The sequence below is a fragment of the Homo sapiens genome, chromosome 3, assembly GCF_000001405.40.
Source record: "Homo sapiens chromosome 3, GRCh38.p14 Primary Assembly".
In the NCBI taxonomy this organism is placed as follows: Eukaryota; Metazoa; Chordata; class Mammalia; order Primates; family Hominidae; genus Homo; species Homo sapiens.
In genome coordinates this window covers 151,375,596-151,398,543 of record NC_000003.12, presented here as the reverse complement: position 1 = coordinate 151,398,543, position 22,948 = coordinate 151,375,596, and the positions used below count along the sequence as shown (strand labels likewise).

Genomic DNA, 22,948 nt, shown 5'->3' with positions numbered 1-22,948 from the left:
GTTGTCTAGGTACTGTGTTAAACACTGTCTTAACACATTCCTGAGGAAATATAAGACAATCCATGACAGAATATTCCATGACTGACTGAAGCTCATGTACAATCTCTGCAGTGGAACTAGAGGGTTATTTTATGGAATTCTAGTTTTCATTGTGTATCACTGAAGGCTGGATGGTTTCTGCATATGCCAACTTCCCCCACTAGACAGAAAGAGGATAAGGGGACTCTGTGAGGTCTTAGATATATCCTGAGTTCAGGAATTTATGTTTACCTTTCCCATTTAGGTTTCCAAAACAACTGTAGCAGACGTCACTAGAAGGGTCAGTTTCTGGAAGCACTGGAAGGGAAAGCTATGAGAAGGGTGTGTGGATAAAAATCAGAATGCTGAGGATTAAGGCTACTAAGAAACTTTAGGCTCCTGGAAGCAACTGTTCAAATCTTACATTATTCATTTGATACACAGCTCACAGATTGTACCGTGTGCTTAGCAGATGAAAGGATAATACAAAATAGTATACAGCCCAGTGTCTGACCTCATAAGAAAAGGGGGTAACCAGTGGGTTACTAGAAAACTGTCGTAGGAAGCAGTCACATCCAAAACCTGGAGAAACTCATCAGCCTATAAAAGCATCTGCTGAATTCCAAAATCAGTTTTGAAGGTTAATATAAATGGAAATTCTCTAATATGTTTGTTATATTTAAGAAAATGGACCTCTGGAATAAAAACATATCTACTTACTTTTCTCTACAAGAAGCCAAAAAATGAAAAAGTAACTATATTATTAGTCCTTATGTAGCTAGAGAAATTCATATCATATGTGGGTGAGTAACCTGAGAAAATCTTCCTGCCATAGCACGAAATGGTCAGTACTCACTAGAAAAGCAAACTGTGCCCAGCAACAGATATTAAAACAATTGATCAATATTGCTTACATTCCATATAATTCTGTCTTTAGATTTTGAAGGATTATCAGAAGAATTTTTTTCTGCCATAAGACCATATTTGCTAAATTCCAGTTATATTAATAGCTTATACATGATCTATTGAGAGGAAAGGCACTAACATTTCCTCAGAACCTCCTAAGTACAGGTACCATGACGGATGCTACATGCAAATCTCATTAGCTCGATGTACTACAGGATCACTGTACATCGTGACTGCATAATGTATGCATTTCTCTTCCTTTAAGAATACTATTTTCCTCAATTATCTAACACTTGAAGAATGATGAGAGAAAAAGACATATCCTACTTGTGAAAGCCCTTCAGAGACTCCATAGTTAAGTTTCAACTGTTAAAAACAATATGAAGTGAGTCTGAGATGAAGAGGTGAATACTGTACAATCACTGTTATGAAGTGGAGCTTTTACTATTTGAAGATGGCATTTCTGGTCTTAAAAGTTTAAAAAGAGAAGAATAAAGAAAAAAAATCCAACACTGTAATGGAGTTAGCACAAAAGAATCAGAAAAAGAATGAAATCACAATTAATTCCCATTGGTACAAGCAGTACAACTGTCGGTGGTACAAAAGGATACAGCCAGGTATTTTTGGTAGGAGAAAGAAAAGTAATGGTGTCATCAAGGTACACTTCCCCAAATATGCAAGGATATCTTTGATTACATGTAGATTATTCAATTAAATGCTTTAAAAAAATTTCTAGCTGAAATCGTTTGTCATGGCTTATATCAGGAAGTGAACCTTTTAAAAACAGGTATATTTACCCATAATGGCCCAGTGGGCTTTTCCCTAGTGCTAGGAACAACTTAACAAGTACTTCAAAGTTAATTTGGCAGTAACAGTTTGAAAGTGGGCTATAAATAAGAAAAACTATGCCTTGTGATAAAAAGGTAGATATGAAAAAATGAATTAAAGTGGCAAGTTTTACTTTACTTTATTTATTATTTTATTTATTTTTCTTGAGACGGAGTCTCACTCTGTTGACCGGGCTGGAGTGCAGTGGCGTGATCTCGGCTCACTGCAAACTCCACCTCCCAGGTTCAAGTAATTCTCCTGCCTCAGCCTCCCAAGTAGCTGGGACTACAGTGTGGCATGCTCTACCATGCCTAATTTTTGTATTTAGTAGAGACAGAGTTTCACCATGTTGGCCAGGTTGATCTTGAACTCCTGACCTCAAGTGATCCACCTGCCTCAGCCTCCAAAAGTGATGGGATTAGAGGCGTAAGCCACCACGCCTGGCCCTAGGCGTTATTACTTTGAAAGAGGGCTAAATTCATTCTAGTGGGATGGTTTTTCAACTTCTAGTGAAATTTTTTAACTCAAAAATGATTTGAAGCAATAGTATAACTCTATTTTTGCTGATTCCCAAAAAAGAGCTAAAAATCCCAATGAGGTTTTAAATGGCTCTAAACATGTTGCTTATTTAGGCAAATTAAATAATTTTTTTTCATATTTTAATCAAATGTTCATCATTTATGTGCAAGCAGCAGCTTAGACTCATCCTTTCTGACACTCAGGGAGCTAAAGCAATTAATTGTTAGAGGTCAGGAAGAGACAAGCACATGGTGATGACTGTTGCTTGCGTCATCATACAGTTCAATTGGTTTCTTCTCTCTTGTCCTTATAATGACTAACCTTGCCATCACCATCCACCAAAATCATCACTAAGTGGCCCAAATGCAGGAAGTGCCGTAAATTACACAACGGAGATATGCCTAGAAAGTTATCCAAAAGACAAAGAATATTTTTTAAAGCATTTGAATTTCTTGCTATGTTGAAAGTATTATGGTTATTCTTAGAGCAGGATGTACCTGTAGATTCGCTATTTCCATGTGAGGATCACGAAGGTACCTAACTCATAGAGTTACCCTGGTATCTTAAGATAGCTAATACATCTAAAGTGCTTAGAAATGTTTTGGCATATAGTAAGTGCTCTATTAGTGTTAGCTATTATTATCAAAATACTGCATGACCATTTTAGAAAAGCTAGAAAATACAAGTATACAGAAACTAGAAAAAGAAATCCCCATTCTCACCTCACACTTTATTTTAATGTACAGACGCATAGGTGTTTCATGAGTTTATACTAAGTGCTGATGTTTTCTTAAACATGGATCACTGTCTTCTATGAAGAACATTGAGTTATAGGCCACAAAAATAGAAATATAAATCAAGAATTAAATTGAATGTATCCAGATCCTGACTGTTGTTTATAATTTATCTGCTCTAGACCTTATTAAATATACACTAGAAACAAAAATTAAAGGCAGGGCACTATCAGAGAAAACCTAGGAAACATCAGGGCTTCAGAGACATAACCTCACAGTAATAAGTCTAAAAATAATACATGAACACAAGAGCTGAAAGTAGTACAGAATATGGTGGTAATTATAATAGAAAAATGAGGGCTCAGAGAAGGTCACCTCAAGGATAAAAGGCCTGCTTCTTCTAATTGACCAAAAGTCATCAGCCCTTCTTTTTGTTTTAAGGTATACTTTTAATAAACCTAAGACATATCAAATTCTTATTTGAGCAATGATAACAGTAAAGTACAATGGAGGAAAACTATTTACAAGCCTGTAACAGAGAGATAGACCTGCACTCACACAAGTATACAGGGATATGCATACAGAAAGAATATGCTACATATCCCAAACTTATCCCAAGCTAGCAGAGGTAATAAAATGCAAAGGACTCCATTGCTGGGGTCTGGACAAACCTGTTGGAAAGGCCGAGTCTGGGCTTGCCTGAGAAGTCGCTGTTGCTGCTGCTGCTGCAGAAGCTTCATCTGTATCAACTGCTGCTGCGATGTGATTGCATGAAGAGAAGGCGGCTGCATCATGGCGCCTGAGCGCCGCTGTAGCATGTTTGACAGAGCTTGTTTGGTGTTGGTTGGGACAAAGGAGCCTGCAGGGTCCAATCTGGAGCCACCTACAAAAGCAACCAAAAGGAAACACTTTCTAACTACGTTAATGCAACAGGTCTTTTTATGTATCAAAACACAGAAATTTCACCTTCTAAGTCTCACTTTATGAACAAAGTAGAAAAAAATGCACTGTCCCACCTGCCACAAATATTATAGACCTGTTGAGTTGCATAACTTACAAAAGATGAGGGGAGTGATGTAGAAGTGAATTATACTACTTTAATTTCATGGAGGTCTTCAGTTCATAAATTGAAATGTGTAAAACATACAGTTGTTGGCATAATTTCATAATTACATGGGTTTTAAATTAGGCAAGGCCCTCAGGAACATATTACTTGTATAAAACATACTGCCTTTGTGATGTATTTTGCCAAGTTCTTAAGCCATTCATATAAATCCTTTTGTACTTTTCATCAAATCTGAAGCTCATGTCATTAAAGTCTTTTCACCATGGCAAAATGAAAATGCCTGTTTTATAGCAGAGGCATGAAAATACTTTAAAATCTTGAAATGCTTGCAAACTTCAAGTACTATGATTGTAATGACAAAACATCTTTTTTGAAGGCTAAAAATCAAATAAACAAGCAACTATTATACCGATGCTTAAGAAACCACAGGAAATCCTTTACATATTTGTATATTATAATTTGTCACGCGCATTTAAAAGTTAGGGAAAAAAAAGTCGACATTTGCTGGCTTCACAATAAATGTAAATTCTTCATTCACCAAAAATAGTCCTTGATACATGTAAATGAAAAAAACCTCTACATAAGCACCTCACAAAAGTTGTTTTATCTTTTCTATAAAGCAAGGTGTATGATGAAAACAAACATTTTAAAGCTGTTTTTTTGGAAAAACCCACATTCTTTTAAAGACTCAGTGCCACAATCAGCAATACAATTTATGAAGTTGTGAAAGGAAACTAAAAATCTTGGGACACCAAACTCACTATGACAAAGGTAAAAGTCAATGTTGGGAACTGAGTCATGCAAAACTATCCCCTGGTTTGTTTCCTAAATAGATAGCTACAAAGATAGAAGGCTATATACCTCCCTAGGAGGTCTCCCTCATAATTTGCTCACAAGGAAATTCCTTGTGGGTTCCAAAAGATTTACCCTAAAATTAACAGCTTATCTTTACGGTGGGAGGGGGGGTTGTGGGGGAGCAGGACAGAACTAGAAGTCATCCCTCCACTTATCAGAGACAAATATATACTTGACTTCTTCCTCTACTCTATGTTTACTTAATCTTATGTAAAAATGCAGATTCAACACCGTAATTGACTAAACCTTTAACCTGCTTCTTTCATATGTAAAATGTAGATTCAGGGAATGCTGATCAAAGCCTCTAAAGAATGAAACTGCTTACTCCTTTTATCTACTTCCCCTTCTTTTTCTTTCTTCTTTCCCCTACTGCCTACTCTTTCCCCTTTAAATACGGAAGCCCCCAAATCCTCTTTGGAAAAAGCAGAGATGTTCCTGTGATTCTGTGTTCCTTTCTCCCAGGCATGTCCTCAACCTTGGCACAAGAAACCTCTAAAATGAGTGAGATTTGCCTCAGCCATCTTCTTCTATTTACAAAGTCATTCAGCAGCATTTGAAGAGCATTTGGAAAAAAACAGAAGATCAATCTAAGTAACACATGGCTGGGTAACTTCTATTGAAGCAACAATCAGAACATATATTACGTGTTAAGAATTATGTATATTGATATGTAAAAAGAGACTCATTTACAGAAAAGGGAAATTCTTTTTAAAGATTAAACTATAATCTAATTTTTAAAAATTTTCCTAACTCTATGATCTTGTACCTCTGAGAAACTACTGGAATAAAATATTACAAATATGGCTGAAGCCCTTTGTACACCTAATTACTTTCCTCACTTACTCCTACCAAATGCTACTCTGAATCTGGAGTTTACTATCCTATGCATTTCCTTACAACTTTATAATACTGGTGTGTATATATGAGAAAGATTAGGAAAGATACATATGTTTTTGTATGTGAGTGATGGTGGGAGATTGTTTTGCATTTAAACCCTATATGAATGGAATCATGCTGTACATACTGTCTTGTAACTTTAGATTGTGCTTGTTTAAATGAAAATAAATTTGCTCATATAAATCCTCAAAAATAATTTTTTTCAAAATTTATTTATTTATTTATTTTTACTTTTTTTTTTTTTTTTTTTTTTCTTGAGATGGAGTCTCGCTCTGTCACCCAGGGTGGAGTGCAATGATGCAATCTCAGTTCAAGCAACCTTTGCCTCCTAGGTTCAAGTTATTCTCCTGCTTTGGCCTCCCAAGCAGCTGGGATTTCAGGCACCACCATGCCTGGCTAATTTTGTTTTTTGTATTTTTAGTAGATACGGGGTTTCACCATATTGGCCAGGCTGGTCTTTAACTCCTGACCTTAGGTGATCTGCCCACTTTGGCCTCCCAAAGTGCTGGGATTACAGGTGTCAGCCACCGTGCCCAGCCCAAAATTTATTTTTTAAATGCCATCTCACACCTAAAGTTCCTCAGTTTATAAAAAGCTTTCTATAGTATTCTATAGGGAGAGATTATGTGCTTTTACAAAGTAGTTAGCTTTCAATTCACAGACAGTCCTTGTGTGTCAAATATCTACAAACAAACTTCTACATCTACAAACAAACTTCTACATCTCCAAAGTTTAAAATGGCTAAAAATTCACATGGACCGTGGCATTAAAAAGAGGAAGTTTAAAAGGATGATGATTGCATCCTTCTTTTTCACTCTGAGTCTAGTTTGTAGTCTATATTCATTCACTCAACAATCTATTTTTAAAAGCCTACTATAAAGCCAGAGGTTCCTCTAAGTTCTGGGGATACTGCAGTGAACATAATAGGAAAAATATCTGCCACGAGGCTTACATTCTGGGAAGATAATAAATCAATAAGAAAGTAAGATATAAGCAAGTCTGATGCTGTAGAGCAAGCTTGTCCAACTCATGGCTTGTGTGCTGCATGCGGCCCAAGATGGCTTTGTATGCAGCCCAACAAAAATTTGTAAACGTTCTTAAAACATTACGAGTTTTTTTTGTGATTCTTTTTTTTTGTAGTTGATCGCCTATTGTTTGTGTATTTTATGTGTGGCCCAAGACAATTCTTCTTCCAATGTGGCCCAAGGAAGCCAAAAGATTGGATGTGCTTGCAACAGAGAAACAGAAAAAAGAGAGAAACAGAGGGTACAGGGAAGGGGTATGGGTCTACAATTTAAAACAGGTTAGTAAAGGCCCCAGTGAGAAAGTAATGTGACCAAGCCCAACGGAGACAGGCAGGAAGTGATGTAGATATTTGAGGGAGAGCACTGCAGGCACAGGGGTCAGCAAGCACAAATGCCCTGAGCTAGGAATATGTGAAGATCACTTACTGAACATGTCTGTGGGGTCAGGCTACCTTCAAAAGGCTATATAACTATTACAATTTACTTTTAAATCTTACATATGTATGTGTGTGTAACATAAACTTTATTTCATCTTTTAAAAAGTAGGTATTTTGCACACTTTAGTCACTGCAATATCCTAGCATCCAAAACTGGGTCCACTGTATCATGAAGCTCAATACATTCTTGAATAAATAACTGAATCACCCACCCTATGGGAATAGGTATTAGCATATTCATTTTACAGATGACCAAAATGAGGCACAGAGAAATTAAGATTTGGCCAAGATTATACAGCAAGAGAGTGGTAGAACCAGATTTGAATCTAAAACGCTTAACTACCAGACCAGTTCCTTTAACCATTAATTTAGAGGACAAAATATGGATTTCCCCCTGCTATAAGCCATAAATGAAACATTTTCTTCCACAGACCTCAAAATGTCAAACTCAAGTTATAATAAAAATCACAATAGAAAAATTTAAAAAATTATTTGTTAAAATGGCACATCCTAACAATGCTGACAGATTTCAAATAATTTAAATATGCTAAAACATGCAATGTTTCATATAGAAAGAAAATTGAATTCATTTTTCATTAAGAGATGTTTTCATTTAGAAAATTTTCATTTGGGACGAGAAATCTACTTGGGCTTGAACCAAAGCAATACTAAAATCAGGAACATTTACTATGGTAGTTTTCCTTGTTGTTATCTAAATCTTGCTGAACCAATTTTCTTAGCTGTCATGATAATTCAGAACAATAAAAGACACTGTGCAATATTGTGTAATCTTTTAAAATGCCAATAAGAATTATATCTGATAAAAATACACACATTTTATAACATAAAACCGTTATCAACTTTTATATCTTACAGCTTAGATTTTCATCACTAGCTAATTTCCTTTTAACACTAAATAAAAGTTCCAAAATCAGTACATAAACTCGTAATTTAACCTATTTTAGAAAACAAAAAACATTTCTGTGTGAAGGGAATTACAGAAATGTCAACTGAGCACTCAGTGGTTGAAATGTCCAAGTTTTGTGGAGGTTTCAGGTTAAAAGCAAAGAGAACCACAAGCTGTTTCTCATCTCTGAGTGATCTGTGCTTTCTCATCACATACCTGGAGTAAGAGATTGGTTCTGAAGGAAAAAGCCGGGCTGCTGGGGCTGGCCCACGAGGTTGTAACCCCACAAGGTGGACTGTGGATGGTGCATCATTTGGGAGGAGATAGGCGAGTAATTAGGAGGCACTCGGTATATGTTGCTCTGTGGATATTCCTTCAACATAAAGTTTTTTAAAAAGTTACGTAACTCCACATATCACACAGCTAATTAATGCAAATAACTTCAGTAAGCTATCTGAGGTACCTCCTATCCCAATGTACAAAGCTGTTTTTTATAAAGGAGAAGATGGAAGGAAGAGTGCTAATAAATCCCCTGGAAATATTCATTTGAGGTAAACTTTTCCTTGACTTAAACAGTGCTTGGCTTGCAGTGGGCAGAGATGGAAAAGGATCTCTTCTGAATTCTATTTCAAAAGACTACAAGTGTGTCAGGAATACCAATACTGAACGACACTCATCACTGAAAAAGCACCTTCAGTTGCTAAGACTCATGATCATTTCATCTTAGAAGGCCTTTCCAATATCTTGGGTCTGGAGAATTACGCCAGAGAGCCCTACAGTGCTTCAGAACCACTCTTTGGCCAAGATGGTATTTCACTTGCAATTTTCCAGACATCGTTCTAAAGAAGTAGACACTCCCCTCATCCCCCATGCTTCCTCTTCCTTATAGTAGCTGCAAAGCCTGTAAGGATCACACCTGAAGGTCTCAATTTCCCTACCTTCCCTCATCTAGTCTAGCCCTAGAGGATGGAAGAGAAACAAAATCTCATTTCCCTGCAATTTTACTGAAGAGCATATCTCATTGAAAAGAGGGAGCTTCAGGAAGAATAGAGGAAGAGGGGACATGACCAGACTGACCTGGGGAGCAGGATTGGTTTCAGGGCTTTTTCATCAGAAAAGAACAAAAGCCCATCCACGTGGACTGACAGGCTGGAAACCCCAAATTTGAGGGAGTGTCAGTCTGGACCATTTTAAACTTCCCTTCAAGACAAAGGAATACTGGTAGGAAGACTGAATGAGAAGGGGGCACTGATGCTCAAGTGGCATCCTAAAGTGGTGGTGGTCATTTCTAAAATAGTATTAATCACCAAGCTATCAGCTAGGAAAAGATGTATTTTAGTTCTCACATAGGTAAACAATAACCAATCATGAATATCTGAATGAAATGGTGAATATTTCTTCCACTGTGCAGCAAGAATGCTGTGGAATTTCATTAAAAATGTCTCAAATCCTCTATCAAATATTTTCCAGGTTTTAATTTAATTTAAATAGAAAAACATTTTATGCATTACTTCTCAAGGTTTATAAAATTATTTCTAAATCACCATCAAATAGATTTCTGTTGTAATGAAAAGATTATTATACGTGGGGAACACTAATAGAGAAACAAGAAGTAAAACTATTTTAAATTAGGCTTATTTTCATCTTTTATAAAGTCTGAAAACATGGTAAAGAAGGAAAATATATGAGGGTAAGATGGAATAGTAAAACATAAAATCTCAGGAACATCCTATTGGCTATGCTAACTCCAAGTTTTATCAAAGAAAAACCAAATAGAGCTTTTTATGTTAATTTACTGAAGATATCAACCACTTAAAATACAATAAATATTTTAGACATATTAAAAATATGTGAGAGAATGGGATTGTATAGTTCTAAAAATTTCAAGTTTCAAACCCGAGGAAATTAGGAGGCACTGAAATATTAATTAAATATTACAATGGAAGCCTACAATTAAAATAAAATTATTAAAAGTGGAGGACGGAAAATCAAAAGCTTTAATCTTTTGTCTGTGACAAGTCATTGTGTGCCATTCAGTTAATGCAGAAACCTGTTAGGAGAACTGTCATAACAAAACTTATCCTGCTCTTGGTAATGTTTCGAGGGATATGATTTGGGCACGAGTAAATCTCATACTAAATGCTAATGAGCCAAGGTTCTCCTTCCTTTCCCCACTTACATCAACTCTTGAGCTAGATTTCGTCTTGCGCTTCCTTCCTTTTGTTTTCTTTTCTTCATCTGTTGTGGTTTTTCCCTGATCTGACAGCTCAGCGGACTTCCTTTCTGGTTCCTGAGAAACTGGAGATGTGGGCTCTTCCTCTTCCTCCTCAGGAGGCAGGGGCAGTGGCTGGAGGTAGTAACTGCGGGGCTTGGGCATGGGGTGTGTGTGATACAGCAGGAGGTGATGCTGCTCCTCGTACTTGATCACTCTTCGGTCCACTCGGACTGTCCCAAACCAGGCCCAGGACAAAGGAGCTGGGTTCTTCTGACCCTCAAACAAGTCCCACGGGGACACCTTCTGCTTCGTAGAGACCTGGAGACCCTGTGGGAAAATAGCGCTCTAAGATAGCACACTCAGATCTTTTCCTTATTCATAGGCCAGGCTTGTATGGGACATGGAGTCAGAGAACACTTTGGCTGGCATGAGCCCTAGAGAACCCGAGAATACAGCAGAGAGGGTTACACAGCTACATCACCGGAGAGCAGTGGCTAGAATTCAGACCTTTGTAAGCCCGGTTCTACAGTTCTTTAACCACATGATGCTCTGTTTAGGCAACAGAGGCAGTCTAGCATATTTTATTGTTAATGTGTATTTCCTCTTTTTGCTAAAAAAATTCTAAAAATTTGTTGCTAAAAATTCTAACACTGCAAAGTTAATCTTACTAAATTATAACCAGTTCTAAATCTCTGTAATCTATTTATAATTTTGAAGATAATATCAAATTTAAGAGTCAAGTTATAGTCAACCTGTAATTGGGTTAGTATTAACTTCAATCCAAATCTGCATGAACTTGGTTCAATATGTGGGCCCTGTACTTAATAAGCCATACTCTGAATATAATATTATTATTAGAGAATTAAATTGTAGCAGCAGGAATAAGTAAAGTCTTTCAACTCAAGCTTATATTTACTGACTCTAGAAAAAAAAAAACGGTTACCCTCTTTTTATTCTTAACATTAATTGGTGACATCTCTTGGCACTTGCCTTAAAATGTCAATTTAAAAATATTTTTCCTTAAATGGCCCCCAAATAACTACTCAGTCATTCCCTAAGATGTAAGTGTTACTGTTGTTATCTATATGCATTCTTTTATGAGTAGCTTCATCTAAAACTAAGGTTCAGGCCAGGCACAGTGGCTCGTGTCTGTAATCCCAACACTTGGTGAGGCTGAGGCGGGTGGGATCACCTGAGGTAAGGACTTTGAGACCAGCCTGGCCAACATGGTGAAACCCCGTCTCTACTAAGAATACAAAAAAAGGCTAGGTGTGGTGGCTCACACCTGTAATCTCAGCAATTTGGGAGGCTGAGGCAGGTGGATCACGAGGTCAGGAGTTCAAGACCAGCCTGGCCAAGATGGTGAAACTCCGTCTCCACTAAAAATACAAAAATTAGCCAGGCATGATGGCAGGCACCTGTAATCTCAGCTACTCAGGAGGCTGAGGCAGAGAATTGCTTGAACCCGGGAGGTGGAGGTTGCAGTGAGCCGAGATCACGCCACTGCACTCCAGCCTGGGTGACAGAGCAAGACTCTGTCTTGAAAAAAAAAAAAAAACAAAGACAAAAACAAAAAAAAATTAGCTGGGCCTGGTGGTGCATGTCTGTAATCCCAGGTACTCAGGAGGCTGAGACAGGAGAATCGTTTGAACCCGAGAGACAGAGGTTGCAGTGAGCAAAGATCGCACTACTGCACTCCAGCCTGGGCGACAGAGCGAGATTCCATCTCAAAAAATATAAATAAACAAAGTAAAACAAAATAAAACCAAGGTTCAATTGCCACCTGTAAATTGACTGTTTCCTAATATTTGTCTTGAGATGAGAACTTTTTCCTTGGTGTAAAAACCACACATCCAAATGGATTCCAGATGTCTTACTACCAGGAAGTCCGCTGACACTGCAAACTCAAACTTGACCATGACTTTAGCTTTTTTTCTTTACACAAACTGGTATTAGATTCTCAGGCTACTCTAAATTCCCTGGTAAATCTGATTCTTTCATGTCTTCATATAAACTCTCCCTTTATTTGTACCACAATTTTCCCTACCTCCCAGCTAACTCTTAATCCTTCAAAATGACTCGTGTCAATTTTCCTGGGGACCCTCTATTCTATCCCCTAATACTCTCTCTGTACCATGTCACACAAATCTCATTACACTGTAATTGTCTGTCTACTTCCCCCTTGAGGGTAGGAACTCTGTCTTTCATCTTGGTGATTGTGGAATGTCGGTGGTTGCTTACTGTTCATTAAAAGAGTAACTGACCAATTTTCTCATATTTTAGAGAACCATCTTTAATATCTTATATAAAACAAATGTCCATTAAATACTGCTTGATAGGAATAGAGAATATCCTAACAATTAAAATAATTTTTATTTGAAATAGCTTACTACAGGAAGGTTTTTTTTTTTTTTTCCCCCCCCAGAGACAGGGTCTCACTTTGTTGCCCAGGCTAGGGTGTAGTGGCTATTCACAGGCATGAGCCTAGCACATTGCAGCCTTAAACTCCTGGCTTCAAGCAATCCTCCTGCCTCAGCCTCCCAAGTAGCTGGAACTAAAGACATGTGCCACCATGCTCAGCTTACAAGAAATTTTTCATTGATAAATATATTCTGCTTCTAAATCTGAAGTATAATCAGAACTTATTTATGCAATTTTTTTTTTACACTAAGCTTTTACTTAGTTTTCTCTTGGTAGGTTTCCAAAAATTTACTTAAATTCAGGGAAACATTTTAAGTCCTTTAAACATATAAAACGTAGATCTTCAAAGATATGACCTCTTTATATGATAATGCCAATGACTAAGTACACTTAGAAGACAAGCATATGCCTTAAAAACATCAACAGCAAAATTAATATATTTTATATATCCTATGGTAAGACAAAAAAAAGTATTTCATCTTTTGTAAATAAATTTATATATAAGAAAAAACATTCACTCTTGCCTGTTTTTTATCTATAGAGTCAAATCCAGCAATTTTGTTTCCTTTTGTGTCAATCAAGGAACCCATAGGTTCACAAGTGATGACATCACATGTCTGTTTCGGCAAAGGTAGTAACTGTCGAACTTTGTCAATACTTTCTGATCGCTTGTCTCCTAGCTCTTTCTAAAGAAAAAAGAGAGAGAGAGAGAGTGAGAAGTGGGACAGAAATTACAATGAAGGCAAAAGTTAACCAGAAGGAAGTTCCCCTATGAAACATTTCCCTTTTTATAGCTTAGCGCATGTTCTTTAACCCTGAACATGTTCTACAAGGCAGTTCCAAATAGAGCAATGAGTGTTTCATTTCTTCTATTTAAGTAGAAAATAGAACACATACAAAGGCACTGTTGTTACACAACAAACATCATAGTGCTGAAATGACAAAAATCCAGGGTAGTGATCACAATCAGAAGACAGGAGCTGCAGAACAGAACACTTTCTCATGTCCAGGGTCAGATTACAAGGTAACCATTGATTTATTTGATTGGTAATGCATCAGATTTATTTGGTTTCTTTTTTGCACTGTTTTCTTACAATTTTTTTTTAAAGGAGTCTGTTAGTGGTCGGTCAAATGAATCGATTTATAAATTTCAATGCAGATGGCTATTTTTTCAATTACACGTGCCAGTCCAAGCATAGAGTTATCCTAAATCTATCTAATGTTAGTATTCTGGTTATATATTTAACAGTGGATTTCTAAAGTTCTTTAAAAAATTAAACATGTTTTATAATGTAATTGTTTTCAATAAAAAATAATCAAGGTTATGTGCATGTAACTTCTGGGTACTAATAAGGTTAGGTGAAACAAATAGCAAATAATCACATTAAATTAAGTTGAATACAATTAATAACATTTAATGAGTAATAAATTAAAATGCACTAGATAATAAATCCATAAACAACTTGAGCTCATAATACAGGCTGATCTCAAACTTACTTTCAGTTTCTTTACTAAATTCATGTATGCACGCTTGTTCTCTTCAGATCCCCCAGGGGATGCATTTGATAGGTCAGAGGCTAACGTTCCATTGATTAAAACACCCAGCATGTCAAGAACTGTTGTGAATAATTCACTAAGAAAGAAAATAATTATTTTCATCTTAAAGTGAAACTGAAATACACTTATTTAACTGAGTATTTTTATTCAAGGCACAGAATTTTTAATAGCATCCAAGTAAATAAGATGTGGCAGAAATCGCCATCAGTATATCAAAGCTTATACCATGCATACATGTAGCAAAATCAATGTGAAGTGATAAAAACATACTTGTTAGTGTGCATGTCAACAGTTCCTGAAGTAATGATCTGAAGGAGTAGCAGGGCCCAGTCTGTAGTCCACTGGGTGCTCCTCTGCACCGTGTCAAACATTCCTCCTACCTAGCAGACAAAATACAGTAAGATATTTGCATTCTGTAAAACAGAAAGAACACCCCATTGCTTTATGTTATCAAATTTTGATTGTTTTTTATTTAAAAAAACAAGGGATGCTCTAGTTTATAGATTACCTTATCTTTTCTCTTTTACCTACATGTTTATCACTATTTTTAGTTCTTTCAGCACAGTTCAGTCATTCAAACATTAACTAAAATGAAGAAGGGACGTGAGTATCTGAATGTGGGCACCAATAAACTTAGCTTTCTTTTGTTCCAAATCTTTTATGATGTCCAGTTTTATGATGCAATTATAGTTGAATTAAACCTGAATAATGTCAAAGTCATGTAATCCAATTATCTGCATCTTTGTGTTTGCTGTACAATTACTATTGAATCTAAGCCTGCTATCATAATACCATATGGAAACATCCACTATCACAGCAGTGGTGGGCAGGAGGCTTGGCCCGCACACCTACCAGTTCACGTGTTGGGACAAGGTTAGAAACAACTGCAAAAGTATCAGGCAGGCCATCCTCCAGAGGGGCCTGCACTTGGGCCTGCCTGATGGGAAAAGAAAACTCAAGGAATGCACAATATGTGAGACATTTTAAATTTCTATAAAACTTCTCTGTGGGATTTGTCTTTATAATCAATTTGATGGAAAGTTGGACAAAACTTTGAGTTAAAAGACTTTTTAAATGGTTTTAAGTAAGTATAGTAGAAGCTAACACTTATAACAGTCTTCTCAGATTTATTCTTAGCACAAACTGAAGAGAAGGAGAGATTCACTGGGGTAGAGGTAGAGAAGGCAAATCTATGCTTAAAATACCTAGCACTGTCTAGATGTCTGACCAGACAGGAAGGAAAGCAGCAAGGGAAACAGAAGGCTTTAGAAACAGGGAAGTAATTACAGAGAGCAAAGAGTGGAAGGCCTCACCTTGTAATGCAGACTTTGCACTTAGGAGAAGTGGAAAGCTGGAGGTATTTTCACATGTAAATATGTTTAATGGAGGGAAAATACTAGAAATGTCACTTACCAAATTTAGGCGGAGTTGCAATGCTTCGTGCATCATCTGCCGCGCTTTTATGTCATCTTGGTATCGTTCTTCTCTCCAGTTACTTAAAATCTAAGATCCGGAAAAAAACTCCCCATTAAAGTTTAATTTTTCTCTCATTTAAAGATAAATTGAGCTTTATACTGATAGCAAAAAACCACTTCTTATCTTTAACAAATTAACAAACAAAGCTAAATAAAATTTTAGCTTTCTTCTTCCTCCATGCAGAAAGAAATCTGGCTATTTATTTGTGCATTTGCCGTTCTAGGTGGAGGAAGAAAATCTTATATAATTATATAGCTAGCCTATGATTAAGTCTGGGAAAATGCTTGAGAGGGCCATCAAATTAAGCATTAATAAAAACTTTTAAAATACATTACCTCATTGATCTTACGAAGAAAAACACTGGAGAGAGAGAATTACATTTTGCCTCAGTCCTGTTATATTTCTAGGGACTTGCTGAACCCTAGCAAATGTATTATTTTGATGTTTTATAGAAGAGAAGGTCTGCTATCTTATGTATGTGTCTTCCTTGATAAAGAGAACGCACGGTACTTTGAAAAATATGGCATTGCAGACATCAGCCAAGTGGCTTTATCAGTTTATAAAGTGGGCTGCTTCTTCACTTCCTCACTGACTCACACTAATGCTGGAAAAGGAAAAATTTGCTTAGGAAAGGGAGCCACAAGTGGGCAACACCCTAAAATCAGATGAGATGAGCAAAAAAAAAGTGCAATTCAAAACAAAAACAAAAAACCACTAACAAAAACCCTATCATGCTCTGAAATATGGTCATTAATGAGAGTCATCTTAAAAGAGTTCAAATGAGTCACATGCAGAAGTACTCCATCCCAACAGATGACCTGTAAGTACCCTGCAAGGTGAGAGGAAAGCACTTCCCAAATCTCATCAGAAGAAATGAACCCCTCCCTAAGGCTGGCTTAAGGGGGCAAGGTAGTTAACTAAACAACAAGCTCTCATGGAGCTCAAATAATAGTAGTGGGACAAATAAAACTAAGTGTAACAAGTGGTTTGAGGCATGGCAATGGCATACAGAATGGCTGTGGTCCTATTTTTAGAGGTGATCAAAGGCCTCCCGAAGGAGGTAACATCTTAACAGAGAACTGAATGAAGGGAGCAGGCCATGCTAATCTCTGGAAGGGAATCTTTCCACCTAAAGGGAAGAAAAGATGCACAGGCACTGAAATGAGAATTTGCTCAGCAAGTTCAAGAACAGTAACATGGCCAGTGCAACAACCATGGAGGAAAGAGGGCCATGACTGGTAGGAGACAAGGTAGGAGAGAGAGCCAGTGTCAAATCATGTCTGGCCTTATCAGCCCGAATTTTTTATACTAGGTATACTGAGGTAATATGTGACTTCCATTTAAAAAGGTTCACTATGATTGCTATATCTAGATCTCTCCTACCCAAAAGGTGAGAAATGACAAGAGGATCAAATAAGATTAAGTGTCCTTGTCCATGTCCATCTAGTACCATTCGAGGGAAAGACATGGTGTCATAGAAACACAGTGCCACAAGAAGGGGTCAATTAGGCTGTGTATCAGGATAAAACACCTCATAAGACCAATCTATCCACTTTGCTTAATTCCATGCTCTCCAATTTCTGTTGTGAATGCTCAGTTTCCTTATAGTACATAGATGCAAGAGCCTCAAACAGTGACCAGGAGAACTGTGTTTGGTGAAAAGGCAATGTCCAAATTATTTCTAAATAAACCAACATGCCTTCTGATTTATTTCTTGTGTACTTGGTTGGCATCAATACAACTGAGTTTCTGAACCTACAGATTTCAAGCTGAAAGCGTGCCTGATAATGTGGCATCCAAGCTTGAGGAGCTGGACTCACTGCCATGCCTACTGCAGCATAGATTGCTCCAGGTCCTCTCCTATGAGGCAGAGTTAGGAGACGGGCAGATAGTTCAAAGTTATATGCAATATATAAAATTTTACTTTTATAGGCAGTACACATTTATTGTATATATCTCATTAATATAAAGTTGTTAATCTTGTGGTGTCTACAATGCCAGGTAGAAGAATAAGGCATGGATTGTTTCTCAGCGTCTACTCAAAACATTTTGTAACCTTACTAGTTGTTTTTTTTTTTTTTTTTTGAGACAGAGTTTCACTATTGTTTCCCAGGCTGGTGTGCAATGGCGCGATCTCAGCTCACTGCAGCCTCTGCCTCCCAGGTTCAAGCAATTCTCCTGCCTTGGCCTCCCGAGTAGCTGGGATCATAGGCGCACACCATCATGCCCGGCTAATTTTTGTATTTTTAGTACAGACGGGGTTTCACCATGTTGGCCAGGCTGGTCTCGAACTCCTGGCCTCAGGTGATCCACCAGCCTCCGCCTCCCAAAGTGCTGGGATTACAGGCATGAGCCACCACACCTGGCCCTTATTAATTTAATCTCAGTATTTGAAAGGCAAATAAATGAATGCCGTTAGAAAGATATTTGCCTGTCTTAATATTATACTATACTTTACCTGGTTAACTTGATTCTGGAGAGATGTTAGGAGGCCTTCCCTTTGTTCATCTTGTCCCTTAAGGCAGGTAAGTACCAGTGAGAGGAAGGGTTGTTGACTCAAAAGAGACATACTACAAAGGAAGTAATAATAACAACAGATCTAGTTAGAAATAATGCATTACTTCCTCTGGCAACATTCATTTCTTTGCCTCACTATTAGATAAATAAGAGAGGTGGTAAATAGCCAAAGACTGCTTGAAAATTTAAATCATACCTCTACTTATAAAATTAAAAGCCACTGTAATGCTTCTAAATCACTTCGTATGCTCTAATTGCCCTCGAAGCCATTCTCAAACTAGCATCAAACCATACTGCATGTGAGCATGCCGGGCAGTGAGGGTAGAAGACAGTGAATTCATCTTCTACATCAATATGCAGAATTTAAAAATGTACATCAGAAAGAATATCAATTTATACACAGGATAAAATTAAAAATTTTTAAAGTTCTCATATAAAACTCTTGTTTTAGAGTCTGGGAAAACAGGCCTATATATATGTCTGTTGAGCTTGTTTTGGGGTTTGATTTTGTTTTTCAGCACATTTCCCAAGACCAAAAAGCAGGGTGTTAGTAGAGCTAATTCATCAGCCAGGGCTGAGGACTCCAAAAACAGTGTACTTGCTGGCGACCCCTAGTGTGCAGCTCCAACACAGCCCACAGGCTCCAACATAGCCCGCAGCATCCACTGGTAAAGAGGTGTCAAGGCATTTGGTTAAAAATTCTGTTTTAAATTGGCATTTTAACAAAATGTCTTCAATTAGAGAATAATCAACAAATCATATTGACAAACAAAGCGCCATGTTGGAAAGACAAATTTCTTAAAATGAGACCTAGGCCAAAATATTTCAATCAGCATTATTCTCCATGGGCAGAATAAAGAGCCCCTGATGTGGGAAGAGCGATCTTTCAAGTCTCTTCAATACCATCTGTCCTGCCTATGGGAAGTTAGGCAATGCACATACACTCACCTATCAGCAAATATGATTTGAAAATTAGAATTATGCTTCCTTGTTGGTTAATTAATCCTGGCCAACATGGTAAAACAACCAGATGTAAAACAAATACAGTACATACAATGCTGGGTCTCTACCAAAATGTACTGTAGTTAAGAGCACAAGCTCAGAAGCCAGACCTCCTGGATTTAAACCCAGGCTTTATGTCCTTCACTGTGTGTCCTGGAGCAACTCATGTAACCTTTAAGTGTCTGTTTCAACATGATATAAAGAAGATAATGAGAGTACCTACCACATGATTGCTATAAGAATTTTAAAAGCTCATGTACATAATGAGTTTTAGAGAGGAGTTGCCATTCTGTAAGCAGTCAATAAATGGTGGCTACTATAGTATTATTCATTAGTGGACAAGAAATCTATGTGCTTAAAATATTTTTTTAATGGAAGAAATTATCAATTTTTTTCCTTTACTCCTAGGTTTCTTGGCATTTTCACATTAGGGTGAGGTTTCTTTCTTTCTCAGTAACACGGTTTTCAAATATAATTACTTGAAACCTTTTCTTGGGCATAAAATAAATTAAGAAAACATTAGTTGTGGTGGCCGAGGAGTCTTAATGTCTAGTCTAGAACAGGAGCCCTAAATGTTAAAAATATGAGCAACTAGTTCAGACACCAACATGCCAGAATTATACATTATATTTATTTTAAACATAAATATCTAAATAATAAAAAAATAGAAATAATTAAAAATAAAATACAGGGATCAGGTAGCTATCCAGATCTGATTCAGTTGGTCTAAAGCGGGTCTCGGAAATCACTGTTTTTAACAGTTCAGCAGTGATTTGGATATAAAGGCAGAATTGAGAACTAATGTATTAAGGATTATAACCTGAAATTTTTTAGGAATAAGACAGCCTTGCCTAATAGAATATTCCCAGTTCCATTTAAAAACTAAATTTCAGTGGACTGTGGGTACAGTGACCACACAGGTTTACAGGAAGTGAGACTTTCTCAATTATTCTTTAAACTCTCACACAGACGCCCATCTTCCAGCCACACCTTTTCTGTTTCTGTCTGTCCCTTTCCTTTTTGGAAGAAGAACCCAAGTGCTGTCCCTTCTCCAGCTCTTCCCCAGCGGCTTTCAGCACTCTTCCTTGCACAGAAGTTGGCAACCTGGCGATGAGGGGGGCCACCAACCATACACCCCTGCGTTCGGAGGAACTAAAATCAGAAACAGGTGTTACACCGGAGAAAGCATCCTTTCCCCTGCTCTCACAGTTATAACAGAAACTCCAAAGCGAAACTTTGATGTATGAGACACACAGACTGTTCTAAAATTTCCCTTTTATTTCTGTATTATCTTTCCTTTTTCCGAACACTAGACATTTGCATGAGCTTTCCACCTAAGCCTACAGAAAGCAATAAAACATGCAGTTCTGGAAGGATATTGTAACTAAACTGACTTTAATGTTTTCCGATGACCCCCTCTCTCTAATTAAAAACAATCACTTTGTCCAACAAACAATATACTTTTCTGTCACAGTTACAATATGAAATATTATATGTAAGCATACTAATAGCTAATTTTTAAGGTTTAAAATTCGCTAGTTATACTTTATACCAAAATGATGAAATACAAATCAGCCTTTCATGATTAAATAATTACTTTAAGACTTTATATGCCTACTGGTTCTAATTCTGCACAAAAATTACCAGGATATATTTGTGCAAAATAATTAATTAATAAAAATGGTGGAAAAAGCGTTTCCCATATAATGAATACTACGTAACACAGTAGACTAAGGGACACTGAAAGCATGAACCAAACCTGAGTTCACCTGCAGTTTCAAGGTGTTTAAGCCTACTCAATCAAATATTCCGAAGCTATCATTCACCCCAGCTTTACTCATTAACTTATTAATAATAATCCCTGCTTACAAGTAACTATGTTCTTCACATTCCTATGACTTAAAGAAAAATCACTGTGCTACACAAAATTTACCGTTACTTGTGAAAAATTCATGACAGTTCAATAAAACAACAGACAAAAATACCTTAGGAATGTCTTTATTCCATTCTGTCTCGTGCTACTTGTATCAGCACTTCCAATACTGTTTGGGTTGAAGAGGCTCATGCCAGAATTAGAAGAATTATTTAGGTCTGCAGACTGCTGGAATACCTCTATTGTTGCCTTTGCAATATTGTCCAGTAAGTTGTTCATTTCGGCCACAGAACCAGAGCCCTAGAGTTAGATATAAGAATACTGGCACATATGTGTATTCCTTTATCCTCAAACATCAACGTGTTTTTGCTTTTTATAAAATTTCATACAGAGATAAGCTTTCAATATAAACTCACAGGGTCCTTCAAGCACTGTTTGATCATTAGCTGGAGTTCTAACCAGGATTGCCTCAGTGTCCACTGCTCAAGATTCTGGGAAAAATGGAAAGAATTAAAACATTATGGGTATCAAATGTGTTAAAATACAGTAATTTCTTACAGTACTCCTTCTCTCAAGAAAGAGCAGAATAATCATACACAATGAAATAATTTATATGAGTCAAAAGGTTCCCAATCTTGCTGCATATATATTCAGTAGCGATACAAACCAATAAACAGAAACATTAATTATTAATTAGTTAATACTGTGCCTGACTCAGCTATGCACTGAAACTAAATAAGCATTTCTCCTTTCAAAATCTATTTAACCAATCCCAATCCAAAATGATTTCAATATTTCTTTAATAATATATTTAACATAGCCCCTCTCTGAAGCATATTTCTCATGTAAATACAATACTGATTTAAAATATCAATATTTGTTTGATGATCATATACAATTTGCAGCATGTACATCCACCCAAAAATAAAGTATGTCAATTCCACAGAAAATGTGTGGGAATAAAAATCAGAATTGAAATCACAAATTAGCAAGGACAAAAAAAGAGAGGAAGTAACTCTTTTTATTATTACGAAGAATTTATCAAATGACAGAAACACAATCTGTATACGACTGACCTGAAGAATACGCTTAATGTGCTGTCTTTGCAGATTGTCCCCCTCGGTACATTCTTTAATGCCATGAGGATAACAGATAAGCTGCAGTAATTTCTGTGCTTGCATATTTGAAAGCACAGGGTCCAATATAAGTTCTTTGTCTGTACATAATCTTTCAGGTTCTTTTAAGCAATGCTCTCCTACCCATTCCTAAAAATAATATGGCAATTAGATTGACAGGCACTGGCTTTCGGTATATATATATGCAATATGTACTAAATCCACAGTGCATAATTGAATAGAAAACTGATAGGAATTTTCCAATTTAAAAAATTACATTAAAAAGTAGGTAGAAAAATTTTAAAAAACAAAATTTTTAGCATTTTGGCTTCTAAAAAATACAAAGTAGAACTTGCTTAAAAACATTTTTTAATGGGAAAAAAGAAAAGACAATAAAGAGAATATTAGTATGTTTTTAACTGGAAAGTAAGGTCTTGCTCTAGGCACTATTTTGTGTCAGTTTTTTCTAACTTGCTATATAATGATTCTATCAGATATACGTTCTTCATAATTTTTATGGAATACATTGTACTATCTCACTGACTAGATACAACATAGTATAACAAATATTTAGAAAACG

General features: G+C 36.7%; 2 protein-coding genes across 24 annotated transcripts in view, besides 2 other annotated features; one reads left to right on the top strand and one right to left on the bottom strand.

The window, feature by feature from the left end:
• MED12L (mediator complex subunit 12L) overlaps positions 1-22,948 on the bottom strand; it is a 350,990-nt gene that overhangs the window by 38,110 nt on the left and 289,932 nt on the right. For 21 of the 23 annotated variants that reach the window (XM_017005676.2, NM_001393769.1, XM_017005678.2 and 18 more), the window contains 12 exons: positions 22,330-22,518; positions 21,670-21,744; positions 21,366-21,553; positions 20,371-20,532; positions 18,320-18,431; positions 15,799-15,888; positions 14,656-14,765; positions 14,326-14,461; positions 13,353-13,514; positions 10,372-10,734; positions 8,409-8,565; positions 3,677-3,888 (listed from right to left, as the gene is read on the bottom strand). In XM_017005676.2, the coding sequence (XP_016861165.1) occupies positions 3,677-3,888; positions 8,409-8,565; positions 10,372-10,734; positions 13,353-13,514; positions 14,326-14,461; positions 14,656-14,765; positions 15,799-15,888; positions 18,320-18,431; positions 20,371-20,532; positions 21,366-21,553; positions 21,670-21,744; positions 22,330-22,518 (1,956 nt within the window). Of the gene's footprint in view, positions 1-2,179; positions 3,083-3,676; positions 3,889-8,408; positions 8,566-10,371; positions 10,735-13,352; positions 13,515-14,325; positions 14,462-14,655; positions 14,766-15,798; positions 15,889-18,319; positions 18,432-20,370; positions 20,533-21,365; positions 21,554-21,669; positions 21,745-22,329; positions 22,519-22,948 lie in introns of those variants that run through there. The other 2 variants (XM_011512394.3, XM_047447418.1) reach the window with 2 other exon arrangements.
• Positions 5,072-5,667: an enhancer, noted in NCBI's record as "OCT4-NANOG hESC enhancer chr3:151110665-151111260 (GRCh37/hg19 assembly coordinates)". NCBI's record gives its function as "activates a minimal SCP1, AML or CMV promoter by ChIP-STARR-seq in naive and primed H9 embryonic stem cells {active_cell/tissue: H9 hESC(naive and primed)}" and the evidence as "EXISTENCE:reporter gene assay evidence [ECO:0000049][PMID:30033119]".
• P2RY12 (purinergic receptor P2Y12) overlaps positions 13,791-22,948 on the top strand; it is a 47,911-nt gene continuing 38,753 nt past the window's right edge. The window contains exon 1 of the mRNA NM_022788.5: positions 13,791-13,852. The gene's annotated coding sequence lies outside the window, so the exon portion shown is untranslated. The remainder of the gene's footprint in view (positions 13,853-22,948) is intronic.
• Positions 20,407-20,476: an enhancer, noted in NCBI's record as "active region_20701". NCBI's record gives its function as "activates an Ori minimal core promoter by ATAC-STARR-seq in GM12878 lymphoblastoid cells {active_cell/tissue: GM12878}" and the evidence as "EXISTENCE:reporter gene assay evidence [ECO:0000049][PMID:35858748]".